Here is a 17,974-nt window from a genome sequence, read left to right on the forward strand (position 1 = left end):
CACCACTGCACTCTAGCATGGATGACACAGCAAACCCTTTTTTCAAAAAAAAAGGACAATATTTTGTCACCCTAACAAATTTGTTGAGTGTCAAGCTTATTGTCATTTCATATAAATTATGTTTGATAAATAAGTGACTATACATATAGTATTATATATAGTATATATAGTATATTATATGATATATAATACTATATAATAGTAATCATTATATATAATATATAGTACATATACTATATAAAATATGTATAATATATAATAGATTGCTATACTACATATCACATACACTATACTATATAATTATATATACAATACAAAGTATATTATATATACTACATATCATACTATATATTATATAGTATACTATATATGCTATATATTACACACACACACACACACACACACACACACACACACACACTTTTTTTTTTTGAGAGGGAGTTTCGCTCTTGTTGCCCAGGCTGGAGTGCAATGGCACAATCTCGACTCACCGCAACCTCTGCCTCCTGGGTTCAAGGGATTCTCCTGCCTCAGCCTCCAGAGTAGCTGGGATTACAGACATGTGCCACCACGCCCGGCTAATTTTTGTATTTTTAGTAGAGACGGGGTTTCTCCATGTTGGTCAGGCTGTCTCGAACTCCTGACCTCATGTGATCCGCCTGCCCTGGCCTCCCAAGGTGCTGGGATTACAGGCATGAGCCACCGTACCCGGCCCAAATATTTTTTTAAATGCAGACTATTTGTACGTTTACATAATATTTTTATTGAGATATTTACTAAGGCTAGCTCCCATCAGAGAGCAATAAGACAACCAAAAACCTTCCTATTAACTTGTACTTAATTATATCAGATGTCTACGGTGTGGTGGGGATGTTCAGGGCAGAGCAGCAAATATACAAGAAATTCATTTTGAAAAGCCACTTATTTATTAAACATATTATAATTTATATGAAATGACAGTAAGCTTGCCACTCAATAAATTTGTTAGGGTGACAAAACATTGTCCTTTTTTTTTTGGAAAAAGGGTTTGCTGTGTCATCCATGCTAGAGTGCAGTGGTGCAATCAGCTCACTGCAGTTTTGAACTCCTAGGCTCAAGGGATTCTTTTGGCTCAGCCTCCTGAATAGGTGGGATTATAAGTGTGTGCTACCCATGCCTAGCTTTGTCCTATCATTAAAAAAAGAAAATCTATTACAAAAGAGAACTGGCTGGGCATAGTGGCTCATGCCTGTAATTCCAGAACTTTGGGAGGCTGAGGTGGGCAGATTGCTCAGGAGTTCGAGACCAGCCTGGGCAACATGGCTAAAACCCATCTCCACTAAAAATACAACAAATTAGCCTGGCGTGGTGGATGGCTGTGGTCCCAGCTACTCAGGAGGCTGAGATGGGAGGATCGCTTGAGCCCAGGAGGTAGAGCTTGCAGTGAGTGGAAATCATGCCACCGCACTCCAGCCTGGGTGACAAAGTGAGACACTGAGTCATTAAAAAAAAGGAGAGAGAGAGGAAGAGAGAACTTATCAATATTACCAATATAGCCAAAAATCAATGTGAGAAACTATTCACAGGGAAATATTTTCTCAAAACACATTAGCAATGTTAAGAATTTTTAAAGAATTTCCAAAGCTACAGATTTTTCACATAGGAATCAGGCCCCTATTTTTGTTTTGTTTTGTTTTGAGACAGAGTCTTGATCTGTCACCCATGTTGGAGTGCAGTGGTACCATCTTGGCTCACTGCAACCTCTGCCTCCTGGGTTCAAGTGATTCTCCTGCCTCAGCCTCCTGAGTAGCTAGGACTACAGGCATGCCACCACACCTGGCTAATTTTTGTATTTTAGCGGAGATGGGTTTTAGCCATGTTGGCCAGGCTGGTTTCAAACTCCTGACCTCAGGTGATCTACCCGCTTCAGCCTCCCACAGTGCTGGGATTACAGTCATGAGCCACCACACCATGCCAGGCCCCTGGGTTTCTGTTGGACCAAGTACAGAGCACAGGTAATCATTTAGTGAATGTGAATCATGCCTAAGTGTAACTTACTTTTCATGTTTGTATGTATCCATTCAAAGAAAACCTGAAAATAATGATACTGTTTGCCAAGACTTAAATGGATGTATATTTGGTGAACCTTTCATTTCTCCACAATTAAGCCTAATTTATGATGTTAATAATTACACCACATAAGTAAACTGTCACTTCAACTCCTTTTTTCATTTTCATCTACCTTTTCCTTTTGTTTTACCCCTTTCTTAAGTCTTAATATCTTGCCTAAATATAATTGAAATAAAGTAACCCTAAAAGCACTTTAACTGTCAATGCATAATGAAACTTGTGAAAACCTGCAAGGACAAAGGAGTGCATGAGAAAAATGAATATGCACCCTGACACATATCATAATTCTTTCCTAACAAGTCTGTTCAAGTTGACAATTATAGGCTGGCTGCAGTGGCTCATGTCAGTAATCCCAGCACTTTAGGAGGCCAAGGCGGGTTGATCACTTGAGCCCATGAGTTTGAGATCAGCCCGGGTAACATGTTGAAACCCCATCTCTACAAAAAATACAAAATTTAGCTGGGCATGGTGGTGAGTGCCTGTAGTCCCAGCTGCTCAGGAGCCTGAGGTAGGAGAATTGCCTGAACCCAGGAGGTTGAAAGGCTGCAGTGAGCTAAGATCGCACCACTGCACCCTAGCCTGGGCAACAGAATAAGATGCTCTCTCAAATCAAAAAAACAAAAAAAAGTTGACCATTTAAAAAACAGAAAATAGAACTAAAACTTAGTTGTAAAAATGTCTATTTCTAATCTCTCCTAAATGGAGGTAGTAAAAGGAAAAATAGTAAGAAAATTGCCTATTTCAAATCTGTTTCTGGGAGCTTATTTAGGTAGGAGAAAAACACTTTTGGACAATGATAATGATGCTCTTCATGTATTGCTAATGCAAAACTCTAACAGCAAGTATCTTCAGCAAATGCCTAAGAAAATATATTATCACCTTCAAAACTGTTATGAAGACATAAAGTTTGAAGACTTTGGACATATAGCTACTAAGACTCTTTCAGAAATCATGTTATCTACATATATGAAATACATACATTTTAGAAAATGTCTATCATTAAGTTAGTAATGCTGAAAACTTCTAGGGGTAGGGAAAGTACAAAAGGGAATAGTCTTAGACTTCAAGAAAATATTAGCAGATACTTACAATATGCAAAAGTTTTAACACATCCACAAACCTGTAAAAAACAACAATGAAAAAAATGTTTTAAATGTGCCAATGGGGGGAAAACAGTCTTCTGAATTGTAAACTAGATACCTACACTTTCTCTGAGCTCATGATCTCCTTGGCAATATGATGAACTTTACTTTTCATTCCATTATCTTCATCCTGTGGATAAGAGCACATTTAACATGAACTCATAAAAGAATAATGAAGATCAGCTATGAGCTAGTCAGACACGAATTTTAACTCTGATACTTGTAAGTTTCCTCCTAGCACACAGTTCATACCATATAACATTTCAAATGGCAAACGTGGAGAATTGGATGAGGGATAAACCATGTCACAGGAATAGCTGAGAGCAATCAGTAATCTTCACTGTCATTAGCTGGATTGATGAACTGCCCTGAGTAGCTCCAGAACCTTGCTGGGATGCAACCATCAGTGGTTCAAAATGGAAGTCACAAACTAAAAAGGCTACAGGGGAAGTGGCCCCTTACAGATAGATACCAGAAGAAGACTCCTTTGGGTGTGTACAAATAATTTAAGAATTTGGCTGGGTGCAGTGGCTCACGCCTGTAATCCCAACACTTTGGGAGGCCGAGGCGGGTGGATCACCTGAGGTTGGGAGTTCAAGACCAGCCTGACCAACATGGAGAAACCCCGCCTCCACTAAAAATACAAAATTAGCTGGGCATGGTGGCTCATGCCTGTAATCCCAGCTGCTCGGGAGTCTGAGGCAGGAGAATTGCTTGAACTCAGAAGGCAGAGGTTGCAGTGAGCCGAGATCGCGCCATTGCACTATAGCCTGGGCAACAAGGGTGAAACTCTGTCTCAAAAACAAAAACAAACAAACAAACAAAAATAATTAGTTAATATCCAATAGGAATGTAGATGAGAACTTCACCATAAGTAAAGGTATTTTAACTCACAACTTAAATATAGTCTGAACAGGGCTCTTCTTCAATCTATAACAAATATAAGTCAAAATTACAGTCACAGGCTCTCCGAATTTCCTTAAAATCCCTTTTAGATATATGCTTAGAGAGTCAAGGCAGTTTTATGCTAAGGAGCTGAAATGAAATTCGTGTGTGTGTGTGTGTGTGTGTGTGTGTGTGTGTGAGTGAGAGAGAGAAGAGACAGAGAGAGAGAGAGACAGAGTCTCGCTCTGCTGCCCAGGCTGGAGTGCAGTGGTGTGATCTCAGCTCACTGCAACCTCTGCCTCCGGGGTTCGAGAGATTCTCCTGCCTCAGCCTCCCGAGTAGCTGGGACTACAGGTGCGTGCCATCACGCCTGGCTAATTTTTTTGTACTTTTAGTAGAGACGGGGTTTCACCATGTTAGCCAGGATGGTCTCGATCTCCTGACCTTGTGATCTGTCCACCTTGGCCTTCCAAAGTGTTGGGATTACAGGTGTGAGCCACTGTGCCCGGCCATGAAATTCTTTTATTATGGACTACTTTGTATAAAAACTAAATGCCCTAGCAGGAACAAAAAAAATGTGCATCTTTAACAAAATAATAATAAAGATGACTCAAAAAGAGGTCTCAGTATTTAGGTGAATTTGTTGTTGTTGTTTTCAATAAAATATCGAGAGTTGGATTTAGTTCCAGGGAAATCAGAGAAAAGGAGAGAAGCTTCTCTCCATTTATGTTCCAGTTCAAGATCAGAACACTACAGTTCCACAGTAAAGACCAAAAAGAGTAAATAAGGAACAAGCAAGTATAAATTTTAGATGTTACACCTAAGGTGAAAATGATGACTGCTGACATTAAAACGAAAATGCTTGGATGTTTCTTTGAAGAAACGTCAGACCTGGTTTTAGAAAGAGGTCTCTTTGCATTCTCGTAGGCACTGGCAACACCAGGACACGGTTATTTTGTGCTGACCAGGGTGCAGCTGGACAAGGCAATGACATGATAAACATTAAAAATGACCATGACAGTCCAGCAGTCATTCATTAATGAAATGCCACAGGAAAAAAAAATATGGTAGCAACTTCTCTCTAAAGTAGTCTTCTTTTTAACATTGGAATCATGGATCTAGCAGATCTGTTTCCCTGAGACTCACTGTGATGGATCACATGACTATGTTAGTTCTTCATTTGGGAAAATTTTTTTTTCTTTTTTCTAAGTTTCCACATACAACACTGAGGGAAAAAACTTTTTTCGACTGCTTCCAGAATTTCAGTGTCACAACCAAGGTAAAAAAATAGATGCAGGTTTAACAATGAAACCCTTCTGAAAATTACATTTTAATAAATTAAAAAAAATATGACTATATATGTTCCATACATACACTGAAACCCTTTTATTTGTTACTTTATTAAAGCATGGGTGATGTTCAAGTGAATAAATGAGGAGAGGATTCCTCAAGGTTTTATAGTATGTTAAAATTTAGATTTTTAAAAACTGTAATCAGGCCGGGCGCACTGGCTCACACCTGTAATTCCAGCACTTTGGCAGGCCGAGGCAGGTGGGTCACCTGAGGTCAGGAGTTCGAGACCAGCCTGACTAACAAGGGGAAACCCCATCTCTACTAAAAATACAAAAAATTAGCTGGGTGTGGTGGCGCATGCCTGTAGTCCCAGCTACTCGGGAGGCTGAGGCAGGAGAATCGCTTGAACCTGGGAGGTGGAGGTTGCAGTGAGCCGAGATGGTGCCACTGCACTCTAGCCTGCGCAAGAAAAGTGAAACTCTGTCTCAAAACAAAACAAAACAAAAAACAAAAAAAACCTGCAATCACTTCTATGCTCACAAGAAGTCAGAGAACTATAGGGGAAAGTTTTATTTTTGCATTCATTCTTTTTATTATATTGAGAACCATTAGAATCATAAATAGTAGTCAGTCATTAGAGTGAATGAAGTCAAACACAGGGACTACGTAAAGTGAGAGTTGGACCAAGAGCACAGTCCCAAAGAACACCCACTTAAAATAGGGATTTGCCAAGACTCAAAGTTGACTATTTGTTGTGGGAAGTCAGGAACCCCAAATGGAGGGACTGGCTGAAGCCATGGCAGAAGAACATAAATTGTGAAGATTTCACGGACATTTATTAGTTCCCCAAAATTAATACTTTTATAATTTCTTATGCCTGTCTTTACTGCAATCTCTGAACATAAATTGTGAAGATTTCATGGACACTTATCACTTCCCCAGTCAATACCCTTGTGATTTCCTATGCCTGTCTTTACTTTAATCTCTTAATCCCGTCACCTTCGTAAGCTGAGGGGGATGTATGTTGCCTCAGGACCCTGTGATGATTGTGTTAACTGCACAAATTGTTTGTAGAGCATGTGTGTTTGAACAATATAAAATCTGGGCACCTTGAAAAAAGAACAGGGTAACAGCAATGTTCAGGGAACAAGAGAGATAACTTTAAACTCTGACTGCCAGTGAGCTGGGAGGAACAGAGCCATATTTCTATTCTTTCAAAAGCAAATGGGAGAAATATCGCTGAATTCTTTTTCTCAGCAAGGAACATCCCTGAGAAAGAGAATGCATCCCTGAGGGTGGGCCTCTGAAATGGCTGCTTCGGGGCCGGCAGTCTTTTATGGTCAAGCTGTAGGGATGAAATAAACCCCAGTCTCCCATAGCGCTCCCAGGCTTATTAGGACAAGGAAATTCCCGCCTAAAAAATTTTTGGTCAGACCGGTTGTCTGCTCTCAAACCCTGTCTCCTGATAAGATGTTATCAATGACAATGTGTGCCCGAAACTTCATTAGCAATTTTAATTTCGCCCCGTCCTGTGGTCCTGTGATCTCGCCCTGCCTCCATTTGCCTTGTGATATTCTATTACCTTGTGAAGCATGTGATCTCTGTGACCCACACCCTATTTGTACACTCCCACCCCTGTAGAAATCACTAATAAAAACTTGCTGGTTTTACGGCTCAGGGGGCATCACAGAACCTGCCGACATGTGATGTCTCCCCCGGACACTCAGCTTTAAAATTTCCCACTTCTGTACTCTATCCCTTTATTTCTCAGACCAGCCAACATTTAGGGAAAATGAAAACAACCTACGTGAAATATTGGGGGTGAATTCCGCCCAATATCTGGCTGAATTTCCCCCAATAACTATTAGCACAGTTGGAAAAAGAACCCAGATTTCCCAATATTTAACCTACAAATAATTTTATTACACCTTGAATCTCTCTTCAATATCTGCCAGTAATCTCAGCATATCCTTACAAATAATTACTGCTAAACCTAATACCCACACATCCACTCTCCCACCAAGATTTAACAAATCCAAACATTCTGAAATACTTGTTTTAAATCTTTCTGTGAAACAAATTGTTAAATTATGATATTAAAGTTCTCTTCTTCCTCTGACAGAAGTAGCCACTAATCTTACAGTTTGTGTATATTTGTCCCTTCATGTTTTCTTACTTTACTACAGAATAATTTATATGCAATACCAAGAAATCCTGACCCTTCCATAAGAATATAAATACTGGGCTGGGTGCGGTGGCTGACGCCTGTAATCCCAGCACTTTGGGAGGCTGAGGTGGGTGGATCACCTGAGGTCAGGAGATAGAGACCAGCTTGGCCAACATGGTGAAACCCCGTCTCTACTAAGAGTACCAAATTACCCTGGCATGGTGGCAGATGCCTGTAATCCCAGCCACTTGGGAGGCTGAGGCAGGAGAATCACTTGAACCCAGGAGGCAGAGGTTGCAGTGAGTCATGATCGTGCCACTGCACTCCAGCCTAGGCGACAAGAGCAAAACTCTGTCTCAAAAAAAAAAAAAAAAAGAATATAAATACTGTTATGCAAAAAATATTCAAAGAAGGTTGTGAAACCAACTACTTGTGAAAATAATCTTTAAATGGATTACTAATTCAGAGTCCAGTCTAATGAGCCTAGGATACTTTTTTCATGCTACTTTACCTTAGCTCTCAAACTCTACTGCTAAAAGGACAATTAGATAGACAGATGAATATGACCTCTATTCCTGTTATTATTCCTCTTTCCTAATGATGGAGACTACCAGGTTGGATATGTTTTACTCAACTACATTCACTCACTTTTTGTTTTGAGACAGAGTCTCGTTCTGTCGCCAGGCTGGAGTGCAGTGGTGCAATCTCAGCTCACTGTAACCTCCACCTCCCGGGTTCAAGCGATTTTCCTGCCTTAGCCTCCCGAGTAGCTGGAACTACAGGCATGCACTACTACACTCAGCTAATTTTTGTATTTTTAGTAGAGATTGGGTTTGACCATGTTGGCCAGCATGGTCTCGATCTCCTGACCTCGTGATCCACCTGTCTCAGCCTCCCAAAGTGCTTGCTGGGATTACAGGCATGAGCCACCGTGCCTGGCCATACATTCACTCACTTTTTTTTTTTTTTTTTTTTTTTTAACACAGGGTCTCACTGTTGGTCAGGCTGGAGTGCAGTGGCGTGATCTTGGCTCACTGCAATCTCCGCCTCTTGGGTTCAAGCGATTCTCCTGCCTCAGCCTCCTGAGTAGCTGGGACTACAGGTGTGTGCCACCATGCACGGCTAATTTTTTTTTTTTTTGTATTTTTAGTAGAGACGGGGTTTCACCGTGTTAGCCAGGATGGTCTCGATCTCCTGGCCTTCTGATCTGCCTGCCTCAGCCTCCCAAAGTGCTGGGATTAGAGGCATGATCACTCACCTTTTAAACTACACATAGCTATATTCCTCAGGAAGACTGCAGTCTTAAGCACAGTCTGACCTTGACCTGGCAGACCACATATCAGGCACTAAATAATCATGATTACATAAGTGTCTACACACACATACACACACACACACGGATAACTGTTATTTTGAAAACATATTTTAGCAAGTCCAAACTTTTCTATCACAATGGGGTTCTCCATATAATCTGTAGATAGAAAAGTTTAATGTTTACAAAATACAGTGTATAAATTTTAAATTAGAAATGGGCTTGGCATGGTGGTTCATGTCTGTAATCCCAGCACTTTGAGAGGCCAAGGTGGGAGGATTGCTTGAGCCCAGGAGTTTGAGACCAGTCTGGGCAACATAATGAGACCATGTCGTTAGTAAAAATAATAATAATAATAATAATAACATAAATAAAATTAAAATTACAAATGCATTATAAGTGAGAAAAACAGAAACCAAAACCATTCAGGGAACTGAAGCCCTGACTCTTCATTTCCAAATAATGTGACATCCCTTAAAGGTCAAGAGCGGATCTTATCAGTAGCTTTAAAGAAATGCAGGCACACTATAGATGTGGAAGCATTTGACTACTGGAGTCAGCTAAAATGTGCACGAGCTCGACACAAAAATTTCAAGTAGCTGTTAATTTATTTTTGGCACCTACCCTTTGTTTCCTCTCCTCTTTTTATCACTCTCCTTTTGTTAGGTCTCTACTCTGTAACTTTTTTTTCTCTCCTTCTCAGGACCTTGCTCTGCCAGGGCCTGCATTACACAGACTTGTGTAGAGGAGGCTACTCCATACAAAAATTAACTAAAAATGTGAAAACTGTAAAACTTCTAGAAGAAAACATTTTAAAAAATCCTTATGATCTTGAATTAGGCAGAGTTATTAGATATGACACCAAAAGCATAACTCATGAAAGAAAAAAACTGATAAATGGAACTTCATAAATTGTTCATGCTTCAAAAGACATCATTAAGAAGATAAAAAGATAAACCATAGACTGGAGAAAATATTCGCAAATCATGATTCTGAGAGAGAATTCGTAGCTAGAATACATTAAGAACTCTGATAGGGCTGGGAGTGTTGGCTCATGCCTGCAATCTCATATTTTGGGAGGCCAAGGCAGGCAGATTGCTTGAACACAGGAGTTCGAGACCTGGGCAACAGGGTAAAACCCTCTCTCTACAGACAATACAAAAATTAGCTGGGCATGGTGGTGCACACATGTAGTCCCAGCTACTCAGGAGGCTGAGGTAAGAGGATCACTGAACCCAGGAGGTTGAGGCTGTGGTGAGCCATGATTGAGCCACTGCACTCCAGCCTTGGCAACATAGCAAGACCCTGTCTTTACAAAATAAAAAAATAAAAAACAATTAGCCAGGCATAATGGCACACACCTGTAGTCCCAGCTACTTGGGAGGCTGAGGTAGGAGGATCACTTGAGCCCAGGAGTTTGAGGCTGCAGTGAGCTATCATCACAATATTGCACTCTAGTTTGGGTGACAGGGTGAGAACCTGTCTCTTAAAAAAAAAAAAACAAAACCAAACTCTGATAACTCAATATAACTCAAACAAAAAGGCTGTGTGCGGTGGCTCACGCTTGTAACCCTAGCAATTTGGGAGGCTGAGGTGGGAGGATCACTTGAGCACAGGAGTTTGAGACCAGCCTGGGTAACAAAGCAAGACCTCATTTCTATTTTTTTTTTAATTAAAAAAAGAGATAAAAGATGTGAATATGTGAAGAAACATTTCACAGAAGAAGATATAAGAATGGGCAATAAGTATATAAAAACTTGTTCAACATAGTTATTAGGGAAATGTAAATTAAAACCACAATGATATACTTCACACCCACACAATGGCTATAATAAAAAAACAAACAAACAGTAAATACCTAGTGTTGGTGAGGATGTGGACCAACTGGAACCTTTATATATTGTTGGTGGGCATGGTAGCCCCTACTCATACGGTGTGAAAAATGAAAAATAGCTCAGAGCAAACTGAGCTATGTGAGGTATGCAAAATTTATCAGGCCCAGAGAAACATGGGTATGAGACTTCAGTGATGGCCCAACCCCCATGCCCAGGTGCAACTGTTTGAAGGCATTTTTGTCCCTGACCAGCTGCCTCCACCCATAGTCTCCATGTTCCTAGAATTTGTGAAACAAAGAACAATGTAAAGTCAATCAAACAGCTTATGATATTTTAATATAAATTACTGACAAACAACTTAGGAATTGCCTCTTCTTTTCCTTTAAAAAACCCACCTGTGTGGGAGGCTGAGGCAGGAGAATCGCTTGAACCCAGGAGGCAGAGGTTGCTGTGAGCCAAGATCATGCCATTGCACTCCAGCCTGGGTGACGAGAGCAAAACTCTGTCTCAAAAAAACAAAACAAACAAACAAAGAACCCACTTGTGGCCAGGCATGGTGGCTCATGCCTGTAATCTCAGCACTTTTGGCCAAGGCAGCCGGATCACTTGAGGTCAGGAGTTCAAGACCAGGCTGGCCAACATGGTGAAACCCCGTCTCCACCAAAAATACAAAAATTAGCTGGGCATGGTGGCACACACCCGTAATCCCAGCTACTTGGGAGGCTGAGACAGGAGAATTGCTTAAACCAAGGAGATGGAGGATGCAGTGAGCCAAAATTGCATCACTGCACTCCAGCCTGGATGACACATTGAAACTTCATCTCAAAAACAAAAACAAAAACAAAAACACCCACTTGTGGCTGGGCCAAGTGGCTCACACCTGTAATCCCAGCACTTTGGGAGGCCAAGGTGAGCGGATCACTTGAGGTCAGGAATTTGAGACCAGCCTGGCCAACATGGTAAAACCCCGTCTCCACTAAAAATACAAAAATTAGCCAGGCGTAGTGGCAAGTGCCTGTAATCCCAGCTACTAGGTAGCCTAAGGCAGGAGAATCACTAGAACCCAGGAGGCAGAGGTTGCAGTGAGCCGAGATCACACCACTGTACTCCAGCCTGGGCAAAAGAGCAAGACTCTGTCTCAAAAACAAAACAAAACAAAAAACCCACTTGTAACTGCTCCTAACAGGAGTCTTGGATCTATGCTCCAGGCTTGTAGTCCTCAAATTTGACCCAAATAAACTCTCTACTTACATTAAGTTTGCTCATTTTTTTTCCCATTAGGTCGACAGGGTTTTCTTCTGTCTCCTAATGTCACTGAGCACAGAATTCATATTTCTTCTCCTTGTTATTCTGAGATCATTTTCAAGAGAAAGATGTCAGTACCATCTTTACACTTTCATTTTAAAATCTGAAGTTAGTAACTGACTTTCTGTCATTTGATAGCAAAGTTAATAAGAAAAAACTGTTCTACCACCCGCCCATTCACTGCTCTACATATAAATTTGAAAACATTAGTGATCATTAGAATCACAGGCAGATCTTAAATTTCAGATTCCCAGGTACTGTCTTAGAAATTCTGATTGTGTAGGTCTAAAATGGAGCATTAAAAGTAGGTGTTAGAAGAAGGAATTACACAGGGCACCATGGTTCACATTTGTAATCTCAACATTTTGGGAGGCAGGAGGATCACTTGAGGCCAGGAATTCAAGGCCAGCAAGGACAACATAGTGACACCTGAAAAATACAAAAAAAAAAAAAAAAAAAGCCAGGCATGGTGGCATGTGCCTGTAGTTCCTAATCACTTGAGAGACTGAGGTAGGAGGATCACATGAGCCCAGGAGTTCAAGGCTGCAGGGGACTATGATAAATAAGAATAGCCCCAGTTGGCCAGGTGCGGTGGCTCACACCTGTAATCCCAGCACTTTGGGAGGCTGAGACAGGTGGATCACTTGAGGCCAGGAGTTCAAGACCAACCTGGCCAACATGGTGTAACCCTGTCTCTACTGAAAATACAAAAACTAGCTGGGCGCCGACAGTGGTGCATACCTGTAGTCCCAGCTACTTGGGAGGCTGAAGCATGAGAGTCACTTAAACCTGAGAGGCGGAGGCTGCAGTAAGTCAAGATTGCGCCACTGTACTCTCCAGCCTGGGTGACAGAGTGAGATTCTGTCTAAAAATTGAATGAATAAATAAATAAATAGCCCCAGCCTTCAAGAAGTGAACAATGGAAACGAACTGAACATACAAATAACTACATATAAGCACAACTATGAAAAGTGCTGCCACCTTGAAGAAGAGAAAGACCATAATCAGGCAGAGGTGTGTCAATCAGGAAAGGCTTCACAAAGAATAAAGCATTTGATGACTCCAAATCACCGTTTAAACACAATCCATCAGCTACTCCTATACTAGCTACTGTAGATACCAACTCATTAATGCCAGAAACCTGGACTCTTCTTTTTTGTCCCCATAGTCACCTTTTATTATTACAACTGAGTCAAGTCCTATCAATGTGTCCCGAAGATTTAAAGCTTAAATGATCCTTTCCTCTCCTTTGATGTTGCCTCCTTACCTCTTGCCCTCACTATTACAGCAACCTAAAAGGTTTCCTTGGCTCTGTGTTTACCCCACTGCAACCCCTTCTGTACACTGCCACTAGAATATTTCTAAAATGCAAATATAACCAGGTTAGTTCTCAGGCTAAATGTTAGCAGCTCCCTATCACAGATGGATAACAAAGATTCAAGTTTCTTTCGCCAAGGGTATTAGGCATTTCTCAACATGTCCACTCACCTTCACCAGGCTTCTCCCTCCTCCTCCACACTGTGTACTCTCTAACCCACCACGCTGCAACTCCAGCCATGCTCTCCCCTTCTGTGTCTGTCCCTTTGCGCATATACCTTTCCTTTTGCCTTGACTTGCTTCCCCAGCACTTCTCCTTCTCCCTGAAGATTTCTGCCTTTCATATTCCAAACGTCCTTTAAGACAACACTCCAACTTTTTTTTTATGATGGCTCCCTTGACATTCTTTCCCTCCTACTATCAAAGGACAAGATAATTTTCTTATTCATGTAATATTTATAGGACTTAACCCAGTAGACTGTGTTTACTTGCTGAAATGTCTGAATTCCCTCTAGTCTCCGATCTAATTCACCCTGTATCCTTCTGCACATAGCACGCTGCTTGGTCCACTGTGCAATTAATATTTACGAATAAGCAAATGTGTATAAGGATGGCTGCCACCTTCTCAGAATCTGAGACAGAGCATATTGCTTTTGAAGATGTGTTGCATAACACAAAAATGCAAACTCGAATGAACTAAAAGCTTTAATCACATAAAAGAGTAGGAGGTTGGACTAAATGATTAAGGTCTTTTCCAATTCTAAGGTTCTAGGAGTCTATATATTCCATTGTCCATTTTACCTTCTAAACCAGGAAAGCTACAGAGCTAAATAAAGAGGTATAAAAATTATTAGAAATAAGTCAATGGATTATAATCATCTTCAAAGTGGACAGAAAGTCAAATATAAATTAAAAAAAAATTAAAAGCTCTATATTATCTCCAACTTGTAAGAACAATGACTGATTGTGACCCAAGTCAAACAGCGATGGAAAAACACACACCCCATGGCATCTCAACTTTTCAGCTAATGAAAATCCTCACTTAAATTACATTGCATTTCAAAGCAGTTCCCTGTTAAATAACAGCGTCTCCCAAAAGTACACTGTTGTGGAAGTTGAAACATGAGCCACAAATGAAATAACTTTGTCAAGGTCATAAAATAAGTCAAACAAATTCCAAAACAGAACCTTTGATCTGAAATCTAGTTTTATGTTCCAATCTCTTGACGCTAGCCCAGCTTTGTAAATTCTTTTTTTTTTTTTCCTTCCTTTTTTTTTTTTTGAGACGGAGTCTCGCTCTGTCACCCAGGCTGGAGTGCAGTGGCACGATCTCGGCTCACGGCAAGCTCCGCCTCCCTGGTTCACGCCATTCTCCTGCCTCAGCAGCTTTGTAAATTCTTAATTGTGTTCTTATCATATGTGTTCACTACAAGTGACATTCAGTGAAATTTATCCATTCCTTTTTTTTTTGAGACAGAGTCTTGCTCTATCACCCAGGCTGGACTGCAGTGGCGGGAATCTCAGCTCACTGCAACCTCCACCTCCCGGGTTCAAGCAATTCTCCTGCTTCAGTCTCCCGAGCAGCTGGGACTACAGGTACACACTGCTGTGCCTAGCTAATTTTTGTATTTTTAGTAGAGATGGAGTTTCACCATGTTGGCCAGGCTGGTCTCGAACTTCTGACCTCAAGTGATCCACCCACCTGGACCTCCCATAGTGCTGGGATTACAGGCAGGAGGCACCATGCCCAGCCTATCCATTACTTTTTAATAGAATTATTAAAAGGCCTCTTCTATCCTACTCTAGAGTTCTAATAAAAAACAAAAAATGTTAACATCCAGACTGCCTGAGAAACATCTCTTTATCATTAAGTTATTTCAAAAATGAGGTGACATCATGATTAATCTCTAAACAATGCTCTCTTAGGTTTTCGCCCTTTCTTTATGAAAGTATGTATCATATGAGCTACTTTACAAAGATTTTTTAAAAAAACAAGGAAATCAATATATAAGAAAGATGAAGACGATGAATATTCTAACCACAAACAAGTAGAATAAATACATCTTACTTTTTAAACAAGCATTTAAGCCCTGAAAGGAAAGACCAAAAACTATAAAAATAAAAATTTAGAAAAGGGAACAGGACAGATCAGCATGGCTAGGTATTTCACCTCAACATGTTTCATTGACATCATTCAGCTTCCATGGCTGTACCAAGTTGTTAGTAGAGACAGATTGGGTTAAAAACCCCAACTTGGGGTTCCAAGGCAAGTTACTTAACTTGTATAAGACTCCTTTTCTTCATGCAACATGAAGAAAAACAGTACCTATGTCAGATGTGTATCAATTTTCTTTTTTTCTTTTTTTTTTTTTTGAGACAGTGTTTCACTCTTGTAGCCCAGGCTGGAGAGCAATGGTGCGATCTCGGCTCACTGCAACCTCCGCCTCCTGGGTTCAAGGGATTCTACTACCTCAGCCTCCTGAGTAGCTGGGATTACAGGCATGCACCACCACGCCTGGCTAATTTTTTTTATTTTTAGTAGAGACAGGTTGGTTTCTCCATGGTGGTCAGGCTGGTCTCGAACTCCCGACCTCAGGTGATCCGCCAGCCTCAGCCTCCCAAAGTGCTAAGATTACAGGCATGAGCCACCGCGCCCGGCCAATTTTGTTTTTTCCTAAGTGAGATGAGGCCTCCCTGTTGCCCAGGCTGGAATGCTGTGGCATGACCTCCACTCACTGCAACCTCCATTTCCTAGGTTCAAGTGATCCTTCCACTTTAGCCTCCTGAGTAGCTGGGACTACAGGCATGAACCACCATACCTGGCTAATTTTTTGTGTCTGTTTTTTTTTTGTAGGCATGGGGTTTTGCCATGTTGTCCAGATTGGTCTCGAACTCCTGGGCTCAAGAGATCTGTCCACCTCAGCCTCCCAAAGTCCTGAGATTACAGGTGTGAGCCACCATGCCTGGCTTGTTTTTTCTTTTTCTGTTTTTTTTTTTTTTTTCAATAGGGTCTTGCTCTGTTGCTCAGGCTGGAGTGCAGACTGGAGTGCAGTGGCCTGAATATAGCTCACTGTAGCTTCAACTTCCCAGGGGCTTGCCCCACCACACCTGGCTAATCTTGTTTATTTTTTGTAGAGACAAGGTCTCACTATGTTGCCCAGCCTGGTCTCAAGCTATCCTCCTTCCTTGGCCTCCCAAAGTGCTAGGATTATAGGCATGAGCCACCATACCCAGCCTGATATCACCGACTTTTCCTGAGTTGCTAGAAAGCCAAATTTGTGGCCCATCCTCAGCTAATGAATAGGACTACATGATATACATTACTCTGTACAAATCTTCCATTAGCACTATTGTTTTTCCTTCAGCAAGGTTTATTTTATAACAGCTTTGTTGAGATATAATTCATATACTACAAAATAGGTTTTTACCCTTTTAAAGCATACAATTCAGGCCAGGTGCAGTGGCCCATGCCTATAATCCCAACACTTTGGGAGGCCAAGGCAGGAGGATTGCTTGAAGCCAGGAGTTGGATGCCAGCCTGGGCAACATGGCAAGACCATGTCTTTAAAAAAAAAAATTAGCCGGGCATGGTTGTGTATACCTGTAATCCTAGCTACTAAGGAGGAAGGGACGAGAGATCACTTGAGTCAAGGAGGTTGAAGCTGCAGTGAGCCATGATCTCACTACTGCACTCCAGCCTGGGTGACAGAGCGAGACCCCATCTCAAAAAAAATAAATAAATAAATAAAAAGAAACTCCATGCCCATTATCAGTCATTCCTCATTCCTATTTTATGGCTGAATAGTATTCCATTGTAGGAATATAAAGCATTTAGTTTATCCACTCATCATTTGATTAGTATTTGGGTTCTTTCTACTTTTTTTTTTTTTTTTTTTTGAGTCAGAGTCTCACTCTGTTGGCCAGGATGGAGTACAGTGGCATGACCTTGGCTTGCTGCAACCTCTACCTCCCGGGTTCAAGCAATTCTCCTGCCTCAGCCTCCCAAGTAGCTGGAATTACAGATGTGCACCACCACACCTGGCTAATTTATGTACTTTTAGTAGAGACGGGATTTCACCATGTTGGTCAAGCTGCTCCCGAACTCCTGACCTAGTGATCTGCCCACCTTGGCCTCGCAAAGTGCTGGGATTACAGGCATGAGCCACTGCACCTGGCCCTTTCTACTTTTTTGACTATTATGAATAATGCTGTTATGAACATTCCTCTACAAGTTTTTGTGTGGACATATGCTTTCATATCTCTTGGGTGGATACCTAAGAGTAGCATTGCTAGGTCATATGGTAACTCTACATTTAAACTTTTCAGAGCTGCCAGACTGTTTTCCAAAGTGGCTGCACCATTTTAGATCCTATAAGGACTCCCATTTCTCCACATCCTGACTAGCAGTTGTTACTGTACATCTTCTTGATTATGGCTACCCTAGTGGGTGTGCAGTGGTACCTCACTGAAGCATTGCTTTGTATTTCTTTAACGGCTTATGATGTTGAACACCTTTTTACATCTTTATTGGCCACTGTATATCTTCTTTAGTCTATTCAGATTCTTAAGCCTGGGTGATTGATCTTTTTACTGTTTGAGGTTTTTTTTT

General features: G+C 41.1%; 1 protein-coding gene across 1 annotated transcript in view; it reads right to left on the reverse strand.

The window, feature by feature from the left end:
• FGD6 (FYVE, RhoGEF and PH domain containing 6) overlaps nucleotides 1-17,974 on the reverse strand; it is a 140,719-nt gene that overhangs the window by 72,864 nt on the left and 49,881 nt on the right. The window contains exons 4-5 of the mRNA NM_018351.4: nucleotides 3,314-3,381; nucleotides 3,199-3,229 (exon numbers count right to left, since the gene is read on the reverse strand). Coding sequence (NP_060821.3) covers nucleotides 3,199-3,229; nucleotides 3,314-3,381 — 99 coding nt within the window. The remainder of the gene's footprint in view (nucleotides 1-3,198; nucleotides 3,230-3,313; nucleotides 3,382-17,974) is intronic.

Source organism: Homo sapiens, chromosome 12 (assembly GCF_000001405.40).
Source record: "Homo sapiens chromosome 12, GRCh38.p14 Primary Assembly".
In the NCBI taxonomy this organism is placed as follows: Eukaryota; Metazoa; Chordata; class Mammalia; order Primates; family Hominidae; genus Homo; species Homo sapiens.